The sequence below is a fragment of the Homo sapiens genome, chromosome 20 (assembly GCF_000001405.40).
Source record: "Homo sapiens chromosome 20, GRCh38.p14 Primary Assembly".
Classification (NCBI taxonomy): domain Eukaryota; kingdom Metazoa; phylum Chordata; class Mammalia; order Primates; family Hominidae; genus Homo; species Homo sapiens.
This window is the reverse complement of record NC_000020.11, coordinates 6,036,273-6,054,512: the sequence shown is the minus strand read 5'-3', so window position 1 is coordinate 6,054,512 and position 18,240 is coordinate 6,036,273. Positions and strand designations below refer to the sequence as shown.

General features: G+C 48.2%; 2 protein-coding genes across 9 annotated transcripts in view, besides 1 other annotated feature; one reads left to right on the top strand and one right to left on the bottom strand.

The window, feature by feature from the left end:
* Positions 1-452: 452 nt before the first annotated feature.
* Positions 453-13,967, top strand: LRRN4 (leucine rich repeat neuronal 4). Its single transcript, NM_152611.5, has 5 exons — positions 453-683; positions 1,709-2,368; positions 3,530-3,734; positions 9,833-9,970; positions 12,267-13,967. The coding sequence occupies exons 2-5, from the start codon at positions 1,714-1,716 to the stop codon at positions 13,489-13,491; spliced, it is 2,223 nt and encodes a 740-aa protein (NP_689824.2). The 5' UTR covers positions 453-683; positions 1,709-1,713; the 3' UTR covers positions 13,492-13,967.
* Positions 1,315-2,116: an enhancer, noted in NCBI's record as "H3K4me1 hESC enhancer chr20:6033043-6033844 (GRCh37/hg19 assembly coordinates)". NCBI's record gives its function as "activates a minimal SCP1, AML or CMV promoter by ChIP-STARR-seq in primed H9 embryonic stem cells {active_cell/tissue: H9 hESC(primed)}" and the evidence as "EXISTENCE:reporter gene assay evidence [ECO:0000049][PMID:30033119]".
* A 492-nt stretch (positions 13,968-14,459) lies between the features above and the next one.
* Positions 14,460-18,240, bottom strand: part of CRLS1 (cardiolipin synthase 1) — a 34,116-nt gene continuing 30,335 nt past the window's right edge. For all 8 annotated transcript variants that reach the window (NR_136617.2, NM_001323562.2, NM_001323563.2 and 5 more), the window contains one exon: positions 14,460-17,439. Coding sequence is in view for 7 of the 8 variants with exons in the window: in NM_001323562.2 (NP_001310491.1) it covers positions 17,355-17,439 (85 nt within the window). In the remaining variant the exon portion in view is untranslated. The remainder of the gene's footprint in view (positions 17,440-18,240) is intronic.

The window sequence follows — 18,240 nt, the reverse complement described above, 5'->3', positions numbered from 1 at the left end:
CTCCTTACGAGAGACAAACGTCCACACTGTCACTGAGCGGGGGCCCAGAGCCACCAAACAAACTGTCCTCGGGGCCTCTTGGGTCTGGTTTGAGCCTGCTCTGCCCCAGACCCTTCTGAGGATCCTCTCTCCTGCCACTTTTTCCTGGAAATCCCTGCAAGCTTCCTCTAGACTCGGATGCCTTCCCTCCTTTGGGAGAATTGGCTTCCAGCCATCCCAGAAAATGGGAGCCACCTGGCAGGAAGGATCAAATTCCTAAGAGGTGACAGCGCTGCTCTGCCTCACTGCACTCCACTAGCCCTCACCGCTACTCCTTTCATTTCTCCAGCCTGGGAAAGGTAGTGTTCCGAGAGGTAAAGATGGGGAGGGCTAGGAGGAGGTGCCAGGCCTGGAAAGGGCCAGGGGCAGGCCCTAGCGGGAGAGGAGGGAGCTGAGCAATGAGGGTGTTGGCTAAAGACAACAGCGTCTTGATGGGAAAGGAGGAGCAATGGGAAAGACTGGAGTATCTCAGTCCCTCTCAGTGGATGGGGGTTGTGGGAGAGAGGCAGCTGGGAGACAGGCCTCCCTCTGGAGTTCATAGCTGAGTTGCTGTCCAAATCAGTGGTCCCTAGAATCTATAAAACAAAGCTGAGAACTTCAGAGGTGCATCCAGAGAAGCCACACTCCAAAAGGACCACTTCCAGGTAAGCATGACACACTGCTGGGTGCACACGCTCCTGGCTTCAGGTTCCAGGATCTTTCTCACTGCCTTCATCCCCAGCTAGTAATAGGGAGACCCTTCCCCTGGAGCCTGGGTGGTGACTCGGAGATCTACTGGTCAGCACAGAGAGCTGGGGCAGGAATACACATCTGCAGTGATGAGGGATATGGAGCAGTGACCTCATGGCCAGGGCATGGTTAACGGTATCTTTGCCACTCCCAAGCTAGCCCATGGCTGCCGGATCTTCCTCTGCTTGATCTCCTAGCTGACCTGTGCAACCCTAGGTAGTCCAGAAATTCCACAACTAGCAGCTCTCAGCCATCCCTCCTGGGCAGGGCTAATACTGGGGGCTCTGGCTTTTGTTGGAACCCACATGGGACCAGCAAATGTTTGACTCCAGGGTTCACAGGGCTTTGTTCTTCTGCTGAAGGCAACCCTGAGCATGCTGCCAAGAAACTGACTCCAAGACTTATTTTAGGCAAACTAGGATTCCCCTGCGGCTGGGCAGTTCTAATGGGGAAAAGCGGGGTAACTGAGAGTTGCTGAACGGACAAAATCTTCCTCATGTTTCTAGCCTCCTGAGGGCATTCACGTTTATGGAGCAGTGACTGTTTACCTGGGGAGAGTTTGCAGCAATAAAGGGGACATCCCTTTCCTGTAGAAGCTCACAGGATGGGGGTACATAAACGGAGGGAGTTATTGAGAGATTCAGGCCCAGATTGGACAGATGAAGAAGGCCTCCCTCTCACGAGAAGAGGAAAAGGCATCCTTGAGGGGAGGAAGAGCAGGGGGTATCACCGTGCTCCTAGGGGAGACGACAGGGCAAAAGCAGACAGGGGAGAGGTCACTGCACACTAGGCGACTCTGGGAACGTCTCCCCGCCCTGCAGGGAACATCCAGCGCCTGTGCTCCTCCTCAGAGCCCTGGAGGTAGGGTTGGGACGCGCATCTGACTCTTTGTGCGGGGGTTCCTGTGGATTTGATGGGCGTCCTGCTGTTCTCTCCCCAGACGCCATGCGGCAAACCCTACCGCTGCTGCTGCTGACGGTGCTGCGCCCCAGCTGGGCAGACCCTCCCCAGGAGAAGGTCCCGCTCTTCCGGGTCACTCAGCAGGGCCCCTGGGGGAGCAGTGGCAGCAACGCCACCGACTCGCCCTGCGAGGGGCTGCCCGCCGCGGATGCGACGGCCTTGACCCTGGCGAACCGCAACCTGGAGCGCCTGCCCGGCTGCCTACCGCGCACACTGCGCAGCCTCGACGCCAGCCACAACCTGCTGCGCGCCCTGAGCACTTCCGAGCTCGGCCACCTGGAGCAGCTGCAGGTGCTGACCCTGCGCCACAACCGCATCGCCGCGCTGCGCTGGGGCCCGGGTGGGCCGGCGGGGCTGCACACCCTGGACCTCAGCTACAACCAGCTGGCCGCTCTGCCGCCGTGCACCGGGCCCGCGCTGAGCAGCCTCCGCGCCCTGGCGCTCGCCGGGAATCCGCTGCGGGCGCTGCAGCCCCGGGCCTTCGCCTGCTTCCCCGCGCTGCAGCTCCTCAACCTCTCCTGCACCGCGCTGGGTCGCGGAGCCCAGGGGGGCATCGCCGAGGCGGCGTTCGCTGGAGAGGATGGCGCGCCCCTGGTCACGCTCGAAGTCCTGGATCTCAGCGGCACGTTCCTTGAACGGGGTGAGTCCGGGCGCCCCGCGTTTTCAGCCGGCCTGAGCGCAGAGCCAGGCTGCGCGTGCGCTCCGGGGGGCAGGGCTGCGTTCTTCCTCGAGGGGTGACCCGGGTGCCCAGCTCGTAGGAGGGTTCAAAAAGACACCAGCTACATTTTTCGAGCAAGCGGGCCCAGTTTGAAGCGCCACACAGGAGTCACTTTCTTGAATCCTAAGAGATAGGAACTGTTACCATCTCCTTTTTACATATGAGGGAACCCTGGCACAGAAAGGCGAAACTTGGTCACACATTAAGCAAATCTGAACCCAGGCATTCTGGGTCCAGAGCCCAAAACTTTAACCACTCTGTTCTGCTTCCCAGCATGGCTGGATAAGTGCTTGTGGAATGGGGAAGTGAGTGCATGCTTTGGGGCTGATGAATGGAAAAACTGAGCCGCAAACATGCAGTTAGCTGAAGTGACTGAGGCTTCCAGGATGAATTCACTGATTTTTCTACCTGGTTGGGCAAAATAGTTTCTGTGAATGTTTAATCACTCAAGCCACAGGAGAGTGGTGAGGATAACCGGTCTCCTGTTCTTGGTGTTCTTTGATTCACAAGGTCGGTTTTACTATTTTTTAAAAAACACTTCACGTGTCTACAACCACCTGTTTCATCAAAGACAAAGAGAAAAAACAGCTAGAATGGGGAATACCGAGGGGAAGGGGCACGTTCTCCATGTATTAGGAGAGCCACAAAATGAGGTTTCTGGGGGCCCCTCGCCTCCTTAATTACGTTCCGCAGAAGTTCCCCACACTTGACAGACATCAGAGCAAAGTCTGGTTATTTTCTGTGTGGACTTTAATGAGAAGGTGGAGCAGCAACAGACTTGGAGACAGTGTCCTGGGTTCAAGCCTTGTCTCTGCCGCTTTCCAGCTATGTAGCCTTGGGCCAATCAATCCCCTCTCTGGCCTTGGCCGACTCAGATTGGAAGAAAGGAAGGACTGCTTGTCCCTGAGCACCCTTCCAGCTGAAATGACCACAATTCTGAGATTCCCAGAGCTGCTAACTGTGCCCGTGCTCAGCGATGACCTTCACCATTCACCTTGCCACTCTCGTTCTTCCTTCATGCCGTGCTGGCCTCCTGGGTTTGTGCGTTCTGGAGTAGTTGGCAGTTTCCCTTCTGTGTTTCAGTTGAGTCAGGGTGGATCAGAGACCTGCCGAAGCTCACATCCCTCTACCTGAGGAAGATGCCTCGGCTGACGACCCTGGAGGGGGACATTTTCAAGATGACCCCCAACCTGCAGCAGCTGGACTGTCAGGACTCCCCAGCACTTGCTTCTGTCGCCACACACATCTTTCAAGATACTCCACATCTACAGGTCCTTCTGTTCCAGAAGTAAGTGCTTCTGAGGCACATCTTCATCACATGACTGATTTTTGCCCATTACGCTATGTTGAATTTTATAGAACAAACCAGACCTTAATTTTTCTCCCACTACTCTTCCAAATCCTCTCTGGGGCTTTGTTTTCCCCCACCCTTTGGGTGATATCTTGGGTAGGTCCCAGATAGTCCACCCAGCCATCTAGCCTTGCAACTCAGTCCAGTTCAGAGTAGCATTAGAACGCCAAACTCCTATGCCTTTAAAGTTTATTTTAAGCCCAGTCTTAGAAATTTACAGTGGGAAGAGGTGAGGAGGACCTCAGGTCTCCTCTCTGTCTGGATCTGCTTTCTTCCCCACATGTCATGCAAGTTCAGTCCCTTCCAGAATTTGAGTGGGTCTAGGGATGAAAGTATTGATATTGTTAGAAAATCCCTTGGAAGTCTATGGGCAGGCCCTGTTAGTCCTCTTTTACACAATGCAGTCACTAAAGATGGAATTATTCTTCTAAAAGGATGAACAACTTTTCAAAGCAAAGGCAGAACCATTCACTCATTCTGTCCTTTATTCAATAAATAGCTATTGAGCACACGATGTTGTGAGGAGAAATGCTTTGTATCTCTGGCTCAGACTCCTTTGAGCTCGATAAAAACCCAAGAACTGTGTAAAGTGCCAGGATACAAATATCAAGCAGTTTCTTTATCTGTAAGATAGAGCTATGACAATAAAAGTTTGCTTTGGGGCTTTTCATGAGAAAAAAAGTATATGGTTTATGTAGAGCACTTAGCTCAGTGCCTGGCATATGGTATTTGTCCTCTAAAATTAGTGAAGATGATGGTGGTGGTTATAATGGAGATGCTGATGGTGATGACAGTGATGGTGATGGTGTTGATGCTGATTGATGTCAGTGATGGTGATGGTGATGATGAAGGCTGTTGGTGCTAATTATAATGCGAGGATAGTGATGATTGTATGATATAATAGTGGTGGTGAGGCCAGGCATGATGGCTCATGCCTGTAATCCCAGCACTTTGGGAGGCCGAGGTGGGTGGATCACCTGAGGTCAGGAGTTCGAGACCAGCCTGGCCAACATGGTGAAACCCCATCTCTACTAAAAGAAATACAAAATTAGCTGGGCATGGTGGCATGTGTCTGTAGTCCCAGCTACTTGGGAAGCTGAGGCAGGAGAATTGCTTGATCCTGGGAAGTGGAGGTTGCAGTGAGCTGAGATTGCGCCATTGTACTCCAGCCTGGGCAACAAGAATGAAACTCTGTCTCAAAATCAAAACAAAACAAAAAAATAGTGGTGGTGAGAACACTGACAGTGGCAATGGTGATGTGATGGTGGTGATATTAATAAAGATAATGATATTGATGGTCATGATGACTTTGGTGATGGTGACGTTGACAACATGGCCACTGCTTTCAGGGAGCTCACAGTTCAGTATAGGTAGCAGATATCTGCCACTTATCATAACACATCATGATCCATAGCAGAGACACACGCCATGTGCTGTGTTATAAGACAGGTGGGGGTAATGATCCATCAGACTGGATCAGAGAGGCTTCTTCAGGAACAGCATAATTGGTCCATATCTCAAAAGGCAAGTCCAAGCTCACCGGGTGAATGTCAGAAGAGAAAGGCCATCCAGGCCCAAGAAGAGCAAGCATCCCAGGTTGAGAAGTGATAACCACTTCCTCTCATCCCTCTACTTGTCAATTCACTGCAATCTGACCACCCACATCAGCTGCCAAGTCAGTGGACACTTACGTCTGTGGAGCCTATTGTTTATTTCCTCCCTCTTGATGTTCTCTGTCTCTTTGGCCCCCAGATGTTTCCCTGGTGCTTCTCCAGCCTTCCTGGCTAGGCCTTCTTAATGTCCTTGCCTATTTCCACTTATAACTGTCTTGCAGGTCATTTGTCACCCTATGCACTACTCCAGCACCATCCCCTTCCCTAAAGCCTAATGCGTCCTCCTCCATCTCTGTGCTGAGGATGCTTAGTTGAGTATCTCCAGCCAAGGCCTTCTGATGAGCCCCAGAATCACGTATCTAATTGCCTGCTGGATAGTAAAGATCTATGAGGCATCCAGGGGAAATGTTCAGTAATAATAACACGAACCTGTTGTACTGTGCCAGGCATAGTTCTAAGCATATATTGAAGTATTTACTCTTGCAGCAATCCAGATAGGGAGGATTCAGTCATTATTCCCATTTCGCAGATGAAAAAACTGAGACACAGGGATGTTAAATACATTTCCCCAGTTCACATAGCTAGTAAATAGCAGAATCAGAATTTGAGCCCAGGCAGTTTGGCTCCACATCTGATACCTTAAACACAATGCTGCATCAGACTGAAGCTTGGAGGAGGAGAGTCTGAGCCAGAGGTATAAATTTGGGAGTATAAAGATGATATTTGAAGCCAAAGAAATTCATGAGATCACCAGAGAGACAGTACAGAGAGATGAGGGCCCAGAACTGAGCCTTGAAGAACCCCAACTTTTAACATCGGGATGAAGAAGAACCAGGAAAGGAGATCAAGAAGGTATGACCAGTGGAGTAGCAGAAAAACCAGGAGAATGTGATGTCCTGGAGGTCAAGAGAAGAGAGTGCTTAAGGAGGGAGGGAGTGGTTGGCAAAACCATCAGGAGCCCTAGTCAGCTGAGAATGGGGTGACCACGGGATTTGGCAAAATGTGGGACATCAGCGACATTCATTCCCAAGGGAGCCAGGTGAAAGGGGTGGAAGAGTCATTGCAGGAGTCAAGTCCCCAGGACTCATTTCATTTCCATCCCCAACAGCCCCTGTGCCAGCCCCCTTCCCTTTGACCCTTTAGGGCAACTCTAGATCAAGTCCTCTTCGTCTCCCATCTTCCTTACTGCCTTCTGATAGATGTTTCCATCTTCACAGGCCCCATTTTAGACCAGGGAGGTCTTATTTTCATTTATATTATGGGCCCTTTTGACAGTCTCGTGACGCCTGTGGGTCCACTCTTTTTTTTTTTTTGAGATGGAGTCTTGCTCTGCCACCAGGATGGAGTGCAGTGGCTCTATCTCAGCTCACTGCAATCTTCACCTCCCAGGTTCAAGTGACTCTCCTGCCTCAGCCTCCCGAGTAGTTGGGACTACAGGTACACGCCACCACACCCAGCTATTTTTTTTTTTTGTATTTTTAGTTAAGACGGGGTTTCATCATGTTGGCCGGAATGGTCTCTATCTCCTAACCTCGTGATCTGCCTGCCTCGGCTTCCCAAAGTGCTGGGATTATGGGTGTGAGCCACCGCTCCCAGCCATGGTCCACTCTTACCAGAAGAGTGGTGTGTGTCTCTGTGTGTGTGTGTGTGTGTGTGTGTGTGTGTGTGTGTGTGTGTATGTGTGTCTGCTTCTTTAACACCTTAAGTGACAAAATCTACCAGTAAGTCTAATAACTTTCATCATTTTAATGATTGTAAATGACATGGAACTACTGGAAAGTGACATGGAAGTATCTGCAATTTCTATTAACAATTCTCCAATAGAAATTATTCAGGAGAGCAAATGGAGACTTCTTCCACACTAGGGCCCTATCAGAAGTAGAGAATACCCAAATGTGACATGCATCAGGAACCAGCCAGGCTCTCTCCTTCCTCAGCATGTGGGACTTCATCACGTGTAGGTGGCACTGGGTGGCAGAAAGAACCACCAAAGCGAATTGTACCTTTTCCCCTAAGAATAATTTTCTTTACATGTAGAACATGTAACATGCTGTCTACCTCACTAAGTCGTCATAGTGATGTTAATGAGACAATGTAAGGAAAGGACTCAGCGGTGTTACTCAAAGAAAAAAAAATATAATCCTCTTCCTTTCCCACTTCAGGGAAAAAGAAAAGCATTTCCTTTCCACACACACACAAAAATACTGATTGAACTCTCATTCTAACATTTCCATTCTAGCTATGTAAAATCTGCAAAAACAAGCATACACGCATATATACATATATACACTTGTATATGCACATATGGCTTAAGTTTTAATATAAATGGCACATACATAAATCTGGTGTCCCAGGGGTGACTGTCACTTTCCTACTGGCCAGAAGTGATAGAGCAGATGTGGGTGACATGTCCTTCCTTTCCCAGAACAACAGCATCTTCTCCAGAGTAGTAAAGGGCAGGTTCCCAGGCAGACTGAGGAAAGCCAGCCTTTGGTCAGAAGAGACTTGAATGTAAAATGCAGCTCCCATTGCCCATGATGAATTATCACTGAGTACATGTAAATGAGGTAAAATCTGGGAGGTCCAGGAGACTCAGGGAGTCGAGAAAGTCAAGGCCAAACACTCTGTGAGACTCTGGGTGAGAAAGAGAAGGGAGCCAGGAGCAGATCTGCCATTGCTAGGTATGGTAGACTCTATGCAAAAATGGCCTCAGTAATTCCCCCCATCCCTGTAGGCACAACTCTTTGCAACATGACTGCAGCTCCTCCTATATATATATTTTTAAATTTCAATTCTTTAGAGTCAAGGCCTAGTTCTGCTCCCCAGGCTGGAGTGCAGTGGCACAATCATGGCTCACTGTAACCTCTAACTCAAGCAATCCTCCCATCTCAGCCTCCCAAGTAGCTGGGACCACAGGTGTACTCCACCATGCCTGGCCAATTGTTAAATTTTTTTTGTAGAGACAGGGTCTTGCTATGTTTCCCAGGCTAGTCTGAAACTCCTGGCCTCAAATGATCCTCCCACCTTGGCCTCCCAAAGGGCTAGGATTACAGGCATGAGCCATTGCACCAGGCCCCATATTTCAAGGAGTCTATTGCTCTACCTCTTGAAGCTGGGCTTGGCCTTGTGATTTGCTTGGGGCCAGTGGGATATTAGCAAATGTGATGTAAGCAGAAACTAGAAAGCAATTGAGCACTGGGGCCTGCCCTCTCCTGCTATTGGGGATCCCTCCACTACCATGTGAATAAGCCCAGGCTAGCCTCCTGGGTGATGACAGACACATGGAGAGAAGTCCCAGCACAGCCAGTTGAGGCTTACACATGAGGCCATCCCAGATCATCTGGCCCCAGCTGAGCTAATCCAGACCACAAGAACCACTGAGCCAACCCACAGAATCATGCAAAGGAATAAATATTTATTGTTTTAAGTTACTAAGTTTGGAGGATACTCTCTACTTAGCAAGAGTTCACTGATGCACTTAAATGAGGCATCTTCCAAAGGACTGGTGTTGAGTGTCACCAGCCACAGTGCAATAACACTGGTCCATAATAACAATATCTATTTGTATGTGGAGATTTGCATTTACAAACACTTTTATCATCATGCATTCTTTTTTGTGTGTGTGTTTTTGTTGTTGTTGTTTGTTTTGTTTTGTTTTATTTTTTGAGACAGGGTCTCACTCTCCTGCCTATCCTGGAGGGTAGTGGTGTGCTCTTGGCTCACCGCAACCTCTGCCTCCCAGGCTCAAGTGATTCTCCTGCCTCAGCCTCCCGAGTAACTGGGATTACAGGTGCACCACTACCGCCCGGCTAATTTTTGTATTTTTAGTACAGACAGAGTTTCACCATGTTGGCCAGGCTGGTCTCGAACTCCTAACCTCAAATAATCCACCTGCCTTGGCCTCCCAAAGTGCTGGGATTACAGGTATGAGCCACCGTGCCCAGCCAACACACATTCTTTTTGATACAACGATCAGTCATGGGAATATTGTCCCCAGTTGATATGAGACAATGTAAGTAAAGGACTCAACGGTGTTACTCAAAGAAAAAAAATGTAATCCTCTTCCTTTCCCACTTCAGGGAAAAAGAAAAGCATTTCCTTTCCACACACACACAAAAATACTGATTGAACTCTCATTCTAACATTTCCATTCTAGCTATGTCTCCAGTTGATATGAAGGAATATTGTCCCCAGTTGATATGAAGCATAATATTTCCTGTTAGGTTGGTATCTCCATTTTACAACAGAGGACAAAAAATGAAGTTCGAGGTCATTAAGAGTTTTGCCCAAAGCGGTATTCTCCAACCCCTATCAGAATGCTTCTGATACCATGGGCATGGTTCTGACACCATGCCTCTCTGGGAATATCTTTGATACAATTGTAAAAACCTGACTTAATTAATTTTTTTGTTTGTATTTCAGCTGCAACTTGAGTTCCTTCCCTCCTTGGACCCTGGATTCCTCCCAGGTCCTATCGATCAACCTCTTTGGCAACCCCCTCACTTGCAGTTGTGACTTGTCTTGGCTCCTCACGGATGCAAAGAGAACTGTCCTAAGCAGGTAACACATTTACAAAGCAGATGGCTGAGGGCAGAGGGTCAGCCTTCAGGAGCTGAAGTTCTCCAGCTTACATCTTGCTCATGTGACCATGCTTGGCACTTTGGCCATGTTGGGCTGGGCAGCCTTTCCCATGTAGTCATACTCAGGGATCCAGGTGATGGAAGCTGCCTCCATTCCAGCCAGCCAGAAGGGGCAAAGAGCATGGAGGAGCAGACCTGGAGGCTTTTGGTGAGCCAGGCTGGGAGGTGTTACTCCTCACTTCCACTCACATTCATTAGCCAGGAGCCACACCTACCTGCAAGGGAGGCTGGGAAGTGTAGTCTGGCTTAACCACTGGGTTCTACTGAATCTTCAAGATGGAGCCTGGCCTCCTGCTCCCGGGTTATCCAGTCCTAGGCCCGTGGGCTTACAGAGCTCTCTTGGGAAATTCCTATGAAGACTATTGGCTAGAAAGAGCTGTTTTTGCAGTGAGGAGCCACATTTAGGCTGGCCACCAGGAGACAGTGGGAGCTGGGGGGCTGGGAACACCCCCAGTCCTGAGCACTTTCAAACCATTTCCACCAAGTAAACACTATACCTTGGGAGGCAACCCCCCTCACCACCATTCTGCAGGATTCTTTTTGTTTATTTGTTTGGAGACAGGGTCTTGCTCTGTTGCGCAGGCTGGAGTGCAGTGGTACAATCATATCTCATTACAGCCTCAACCTCCTGGGCTCAGCGATCATCCTACTCAGCTTCTAGAGGAGCTGGGACCAGAGGTGCAAGCCACCACACCCGGCTAATTTTTTTTTAATCTTTTTGTAGAGATGGAGTCTCATCATGTTACCCAGGCTGTTCTCAAACTCCTGGACTCAAGTGATCCTCCCATCTGGGCCTCCCAAAGAGTTGGGATTACAGGCATGAACCACCATGCCCGGCCAAGATTCTTTTCTCATCTCCCACCCAAGCCCAGCTGTGAGGTGGGGCTCAGTCTGCCCCCCAACCCCACATTCCCTCCAAAGAGAAGCACCTGGGCCCTTTGCAGTCAAGGGTCTCATCACAGTATTAATGATGAAGCTGAGACTACAGGCTCTGGAGCCAGAGAGTCCAGCTTCATCCTACTTACTACTATTTTATTAATTTATTTTAGAGACAGGGTCTTGCTCTGTCATCCAGGCTGGAGTGCAGTGGCATGATCATGGCTCACTGCAGCCTCAGACTACTGGGCTCAAGCAATCCTCCTGCCTCATCCTCCCAAGTAGCTGGGACCACAGCCATGTGCCACCATACCTGGCTAAGTTTTTGTTTGTTTGTTTTGGTAGAGACGAGGTCTCACTATGTTGACCAGGATGGTCTCCAACTCCTGGCCTCAAGTGATCCTCCTACATGGGCCTCCCAAAGTGCTGGGACTCCAGGCATGAGCCACTGTACCTGGTCTACTTACTACTGTTGATTTGAGCTGAGCTATTTCACCTGAGTTACTTTGGCCTCTACCTTCTCATCTGTAAAATGGGGTAATAGAGTCTACTGCAAAAGTAGTGCAGACTAAATTAGTTGACACATTGGAGTGTGAAGAATAGCGCCTAGCACGTGGGAAGCACTCAGAAATGGTAGCTAGTATGAGTATTTTTTTTTTTTTTTTTTTGAGACAGAGTCTCCCTCTGTTGCCCAGGCTGGAGTGCAGTGGTGCAATCTCAGCTCACTGCAACCTCTGCCTCCCAGGTTCAAGTGATTCTCCTGCCTCTGCCTCCTGAGTAGCTGGGATTACAGGCACCCGCCACCATGCCCGGCTAATTTTTGTATTTTTAGTAGGGAGGGGGTTTCACCGTCTTAGCCAGGATGGTCTTGACCTCCTGACCTTGTGATCTGCCCGCCTCAGCTTCCCAAAGTGCTGAGATTACAGGCTTGAGCCATCGCACCGGCCCGAGTATGATTTTTATTACTAGTGCTTTCTTGCCAGGAAGCAGACAGGTGAGAACAAAATGGCAAATGACACTCAGAGAATCTGGACTCCTTCTCAGTGCTTGCCCCGGGGTAGGCTCTGCCATTGCTAGCTATGGTGTCTTGGGCAATTAGTTCCTCCTTCTAAACTTCTGTTTGCTTCTTTGCCCAGTGGGAGTGAGGACAGGAGCTTCCTCCAAAGGTTTCCCCAGAATCAATGAGGTGATGTGTGTGTGCGGCGTGTGTGCCCTGGGGTGCCTGGCAGAGACGCGTTGATGGGCTTGGCAGGGGGTGACGTCGGCAATGAGGATTCAAAGCTCTGCGCAGAAGTGTCCCTGAAGCCAGACGTCTTCTAACTGGTTGGCCTCCCCTCCAGGGCAGCAGACACTATGTGCGCGCCAGCTGCGGGATCCAGCGGCCCCTTCTCAGCCTCCCTGTCACTCTCCCAGCTGCCCGGAGTGTGCCAGTCCGACCAAAGCACCACTCTCGGGGCTTCACACCCACCTTGCTTCAACCGCTCCACCTACGCACAGGGTACCACCGTCGCGCCCAGCGCAGCCCCCGCCACCCGGCCTGCGGGAGACCAGCAGAGTGTCTCCAAGGCCCCTAACGTGGGCTCTCGCACGATAGCTGCATGGCCGCACAGCGATGCACGGGAGGGGACTGCCCCCTCCACGACCAACTCTGTAGCAGGTCACAGCAACTCCAGCGTTTTCCCCAGGGCTGCCAGCACCACCAGGACCCAGCACCGAGGAGAACATGCCCCCGAGCTTGTCCTTGAGCCTGATATCTCAGCTGCCTCCACCCCACTGGCCAGCAAGCTCCTGGGCCCCTTCCCTACCTCGTGGGACCGCAGCATAAGCTCGCCTCAGCCCGGCCAGAGGACACACGCCACACCCCAAGCCCCCAACCCGAGTCTTTCCGAGGGCGAGATTCCAGTCTTGCTGCTGGACGACTACAGTGAGGAGGAGGAAGGGAGGAAGGAGGAGGTGGGAACGCCTCACCAGGACGTCCCCTGTGATTACCATCCCTGCAAGCACCTGCAGACCCCGTGCGCGGAGCTGCAGAGGCGGTGGCGGTGCCGGTGCCCCGGCCTCAGCGGGGAAGACACCATCCCAGACCCGCCCAGGCTGCAGGGGGTGACGGAGACCACGGACACGTCGGCGCTGGTCCACTGGTGTGCCCCCAACTCGGTAGTGCATGGGTACCAGATCCGCTACTCTGCGGAGGGCTGGGCGGGGAACCAGTCGGTGGTGGGGGTCATCTACGCCACGGCCCGGCAGCACCCTCTGTACGGGCTGTCGCCGGGCACCACCTACCGCGTGTGCGTGCTGGCGGCCAACAGGGCGGGCTTGAGCCAGCCACGGTCTTCGGGCTGGAGGAGCCCGTGCGCCGCCTTCACCACCAAGCCCAGCTTCGCGCTCCTGCTCTCTGGGCTGTGCGCCGCCAGCGGCCTGTTGCTCGCCAGCACCGTGGTGCTGTCCGCATGTCTCTGCAGGCGGGGCCAGACGCTGGGCCTGCAGCGCTGCGACACGCACCTGGTGGCCTACAAAAACCCGGCCTTTGATGATTACCCGCTGGGGCTCCAGACCGTCAGTTAGCCCAGCTTCTGGGATAACGCGTCTCATCGAACTGGATCTGAGCGCAAAAAGGAAGACACAGACGGTCAAAAACGACCCCATCCGCTCCTAGGGTTTCTAATTCCCGTGAAGCCAGAATGCCTTGAGCACACATGGAACTTGCCACACTGAGTGTCTGGGTCCAAGGAACTGCTGCCCTCCCTTCCTTCTACTTAACTCTGTTCCCAGAAACCTGATGGTCAATGCCAGATCGCTCCCCACTGCCGCCAGGCCTTCTTGTGTGTTGTTGGTTCATTTGCGGTTTTCAGCAGTCAGTGCCTCTCTATCCAGTAGAATAGTGTATGGACGTAGGAAGGGATGAAACAGAGAAGTTGCATAACCCAGCCTCTTTGATCATGTTAGAAATCACATCCTCAGGTCTTTCCAGCGGAAGCTCCTTCATGGTCAAGCTCTAAGACACAACGAGCTCTGTTATTCAAGAAATCAATTCCAGTGGATTTCCAGTTCCAATTCCTGAGAACTAGGGTAAGGGGGAGAGCTAATGGTTGCTTCCTAAGGCCTTCTGGGTTTATTAGTTCCATTTCAGGACATGACAAGAAAATGTACTCCCGGCTTTACAGTTAAAACCAGTTTTCTGGGAACATTTGTCAAACACAGGGAAAGGCTGTCCTTTTAAGTTAGTGTTTACTGCATTTCACCTAAGACTAAATGGACAAATGAATTATAAATTCATTTTTTAGGAGGCATAATAAACTTTGGAAATATTTTTTCTTAATTAGAGGGAAGAAATGAGCAAAAGAGAACCCGAGGCTCTAGCTAGAAGCCCGTGTTTCTCTGCCCTAATTGCATCAAACAATGCCTTAATAATCTGTGTCTTCATGTGGGAGGCATCTACTCTGTCCTCTACTTTTTCACTTTTATGCAAACTCAGGGGAAACTCAGGGGAAAAAATGATTCTATGAAATTATAATTAGAGCCATATTTCTAGATTTTAATTTTCAACATTGGCATTTATTAATTTCCTGCAGCTGCTGTAACAAGTTACCACAAACTGGTAAAAATGGCTTAAAAGAACAGAAATTTATTTTCCTACAGTTCAGGCCGGAAATCCCAAATCAAAGCATCAGTGGGGTTGGTTCCTCTTGGAGGCTCCGAGGGAGTTGTTCCATCTCCTCTCCCAGCTTCGGATGGTTGGCAGCAATCCTCAGTATTCCTTAGCTCGCAGACATCATTCCAATCTATCCCTCCATCATCTCACGGCATTCTCTCTCTGTTCACATTTCCTTTTTTTTTTTTTTTAACAAAAAAACCTAGTTATTGGGGCCCACTGTAATCCAGTATGATCTAATTCTATCTTGACTGCATCTAAAAAGACCCTATTTCCAAATAAGGTCACATGTACAGTACTGGGGGTTTGAACGTGAACGTATCTTTCTTGGGAGATGCGATTCAAGCCACAAGAGCATTTACTTCTACTGTAAGAAGAAAACAAATCGAGTTTAAATCCTATGTATCTTTTGTTTCCAAACCATGCTGCAGAAACTAAAACTGAACTGCACTATATATATTTCTAGGTGTCTGAAGTTTTGAAAGAGCTTCCCAAAACTTTAAGGTAGATCCCTAGTTTCATCATAAATGTAACTAAAAGAATTGGCCTAAATGATTTCAAAGATCTCCACCAGCTCCTGGTTAAAAACTGCAAAGCTATGATGTTGTGGGCTTGTAAAAAAAACAAAATACACACACACACACACACACACACACACACACACACACACACAAACAAAACTGCAAAGCACAGTTGGTGTGCACCTGTAATCCCAGCTACTTGGGAAGCTGAGGTGAAAGGGTCACTTGGGCTCAGGAATGAGGCCCCGACTAAAATTCGCTGCAAAAGCCCAAAATCTAGTTAGCATAAATTCCTCAGACATGTAATTAAATGACACTAATGCTTTAAGCTTACTGTCAAGGTTAAGTCTATTCAGTGAAGACAATGAAATGAATTTTCATCATGTTTTGAGTCTATAAACAAGTACATACTCAGACATGTCTAATACAATTCCAGTGTTTTATAAACTGGCAGAATTGATGTGTTTTATAACAATTCAGTATCCAAAAGCCTGAGGAGACTTGGACCATTTTCCTAAGGGATGAAGCGGGAAACGTTTATTAACCAGAGCCAGATTGAGACCTTAATAATAAAAAGATATGGGTCCAACCCATAGGTCACTCCAAATGGCATCAACACTAAACCATAAATAAGCGTTAACAAAGTGCAAAGTTCTAAATTTTCGCATAGCTACTTCAAGTCCTCTCTTTTTTAAACATTATTCTTATGTGGCTCACCCGTCACTAATGCTCAGTGTGCCTCTTGGGTGGCTCAGCAGTGGGAAGTCCACTTTCAGCCTAACTACTCCTAACAATGAAGCTGTTCTCCAGAGAGCAAGAATAGCCAGCCACATGCCCCCTTCTCTGCTTTTTCATCCCCCTCCATCTGATTCAATGGCGGTGTCCCTGGCTGCAGGCTTCAGTATGCTTCAAGCCAAGCGCAGCTCAGCTGCCAGTCTGAGAACAACCAGGACCAGCAAGCCACAGAGGGACACGCTGGTGCAGAATGCCTGGCCAAGAGGCATGAGTTTTACTTACAGCCTCCCATTCTAATTTAATGCAGCTCAACAGGCTGAGAATGGATAATCTCACTGCAGTATTCCATAATAGGCTTGGATTAAAACCAGGGACAATGGGCAGCAATAGGCCATAGGTTAAGCAGCAGCAACTAGTCACCACTGGACTGTCTTCTTCTCCCCTTCCCCATATCCCACATTCTCCTAAACATGATGTACGTGTAGCAACAGTCTTTTAAAGTCAGATGGTCAGACTAATTATTTTTACAATTTAAGTGTAAGTGATGTACATGAATGGACTCTGTGAATCGGAAAACTTACGTAACAGCAGAGAATACGTATGTTATATGGAACAACCTGAGTTGAAGGTACAATTTTTTTTCCAGCTCTTTTATTCCTTTAACTGCTTAACAAAAGAAAGAGTCTCCAAAGTTTAAAAAACCTTTGAAAAATATACAGCTTGATATTATTTACATAAAATATGAATCCAGGTTCCAATATCAAACAAACATTGCTATGTCAGAAACACAGTGGAAGGCAGGAACGTAACTCACTGCCTTTTAGATGCAAAGACTAATAGACACGTTCTCCTATCTCGACTATCTTTGTTACCTGTTATCCTCAAACATAAATTATTAGGCACCTGAGAGGTTGGAAGACTACCGAAAATGAACTTCATACCTTCTGTATGATTATTATCTTAAAAAGTTACCGCATTTTTAATCTCTTTTATAACTTTACTTCATCTACAACTAACTTCACTTTCATTATCCCAAATGATCAGGTATTAATTACATGAACTGTTAATGTATACACAGACCTAAAAATCAAACAAAAATGTATTGCCCAGTTGTGTAGGATATATATTTGAACCCCATGACATTTCCTAGTGCTTTGTGAGCAATCCAAATTTCACTTAAAAGAGAGGTGTCAATTCTGCCCATGCTCTGGACTATGTTTTTAAAAAACATACAAAAAAGACTGACAATAATTGATCTCTTATAAATTAATCAAGAAACCTAAGATTAAAAATTCTAAATTACAATTTTATTTGTATTTAAAAATACATTGGAAATTCTGCATATTCCCATGATCAACCTTATTTTCAATGCACATTACTTAAATTTTGATGACACAGTTGATTCTGACAAGTCCTTTTTCAAGCTGAACACCAAAATAGGGAAACTCCTGTACATTTCCATGGGCCCTGTTCCCATTGATGTATACTGCTTCCTTACTAACAGTGAGGGATGACTTTCATCAGTCTTTTATCACCTGAACAGTCTTCCGGCCATAATGATAGTAACTATAAGCTGATGCAGCTGTGGTGAAAGCTGTAAAACACCTTTTATGGAAGAAAAGAAATAAAATGTAGTTGTCAAGTCTAAAAAATAGTAGCAACGGGAATCATAATGAATACATGCAATGAATTTAAAATGTAAAAATGAATTTAAAAAGTAAAAAGGGCTCTGTGGTGTAATTTTTCTTAACTACAAGAGTCTAAATACACTGCTTTTCTTTAAGAGTTCATTTTAATTAGTAACGTCAAACAAAATTATTCTAGATAATGAGCCCTACAAATTACTACTACTAGCAACTGTCATTTTTTACTCGGGCATCCTCTAGGTGTCTTACATTCTCATTTTATTCTTACAACGAACTCATCCTCCAGAAGGACTTCATCCTCCAGAAGGACTCATCCTCCAGAAGGACTCATCCTCCAAAGGACTTCTCCAGAAGGGGGAAATGGAAGACCCGGGTAACTTGCTCAGGGCTTATCACAGAACTATGTTTGAGCCTGACTTCGTTTGAACTCTAAAGCCCACATGCTCTTTCTACTGCCCCATGCTTCTCAGGGTACCAGACTCTTATTTCCTGCAGCTTTTGAGAATTCTAAAGATACCTGAGTCATTTTAAATAAATTTCAGCTTTCTTTACCAAACTACCCTTAACCGGATTCTCCTTGAAATGACATCACCTGACACCCATGGCATGCTGCATGCCCACAGCTAGATTACTTTTTAGTGCGCCCACGCACTTCTGCTTTTATTAGGTGAGGCAGAATCAAGATTCCCTTTTGTTGGATCTTGAACCTGTTCATGCCACTTTGATATTCTAAATTCATACATAAACCAATGAAATATAT

Coding starts and splice junctions, on each gene's coding strand:
- LRRN4 (NM_152611.5), top strand. CDS start 1,714: ATGCGGCAAACCCTACCGCTGCTGCTGCTGACGGTGCTGCGCCCCAGC. Junction 2,369..3,529: donor CGGCACGTTCCTTGAACGGG/GTGAGTCCGGGC, acceptor TCTGTGTTTCAG/TTGAGTCAGGGTGGATCAGA. Junction 9,971..12,266: donor AAGAGAACTGTCCTAAGCAG/GTAACACATTTA, acceptor CCTCCCCTCCAG/GGCAGCAGACACTATGTGCG.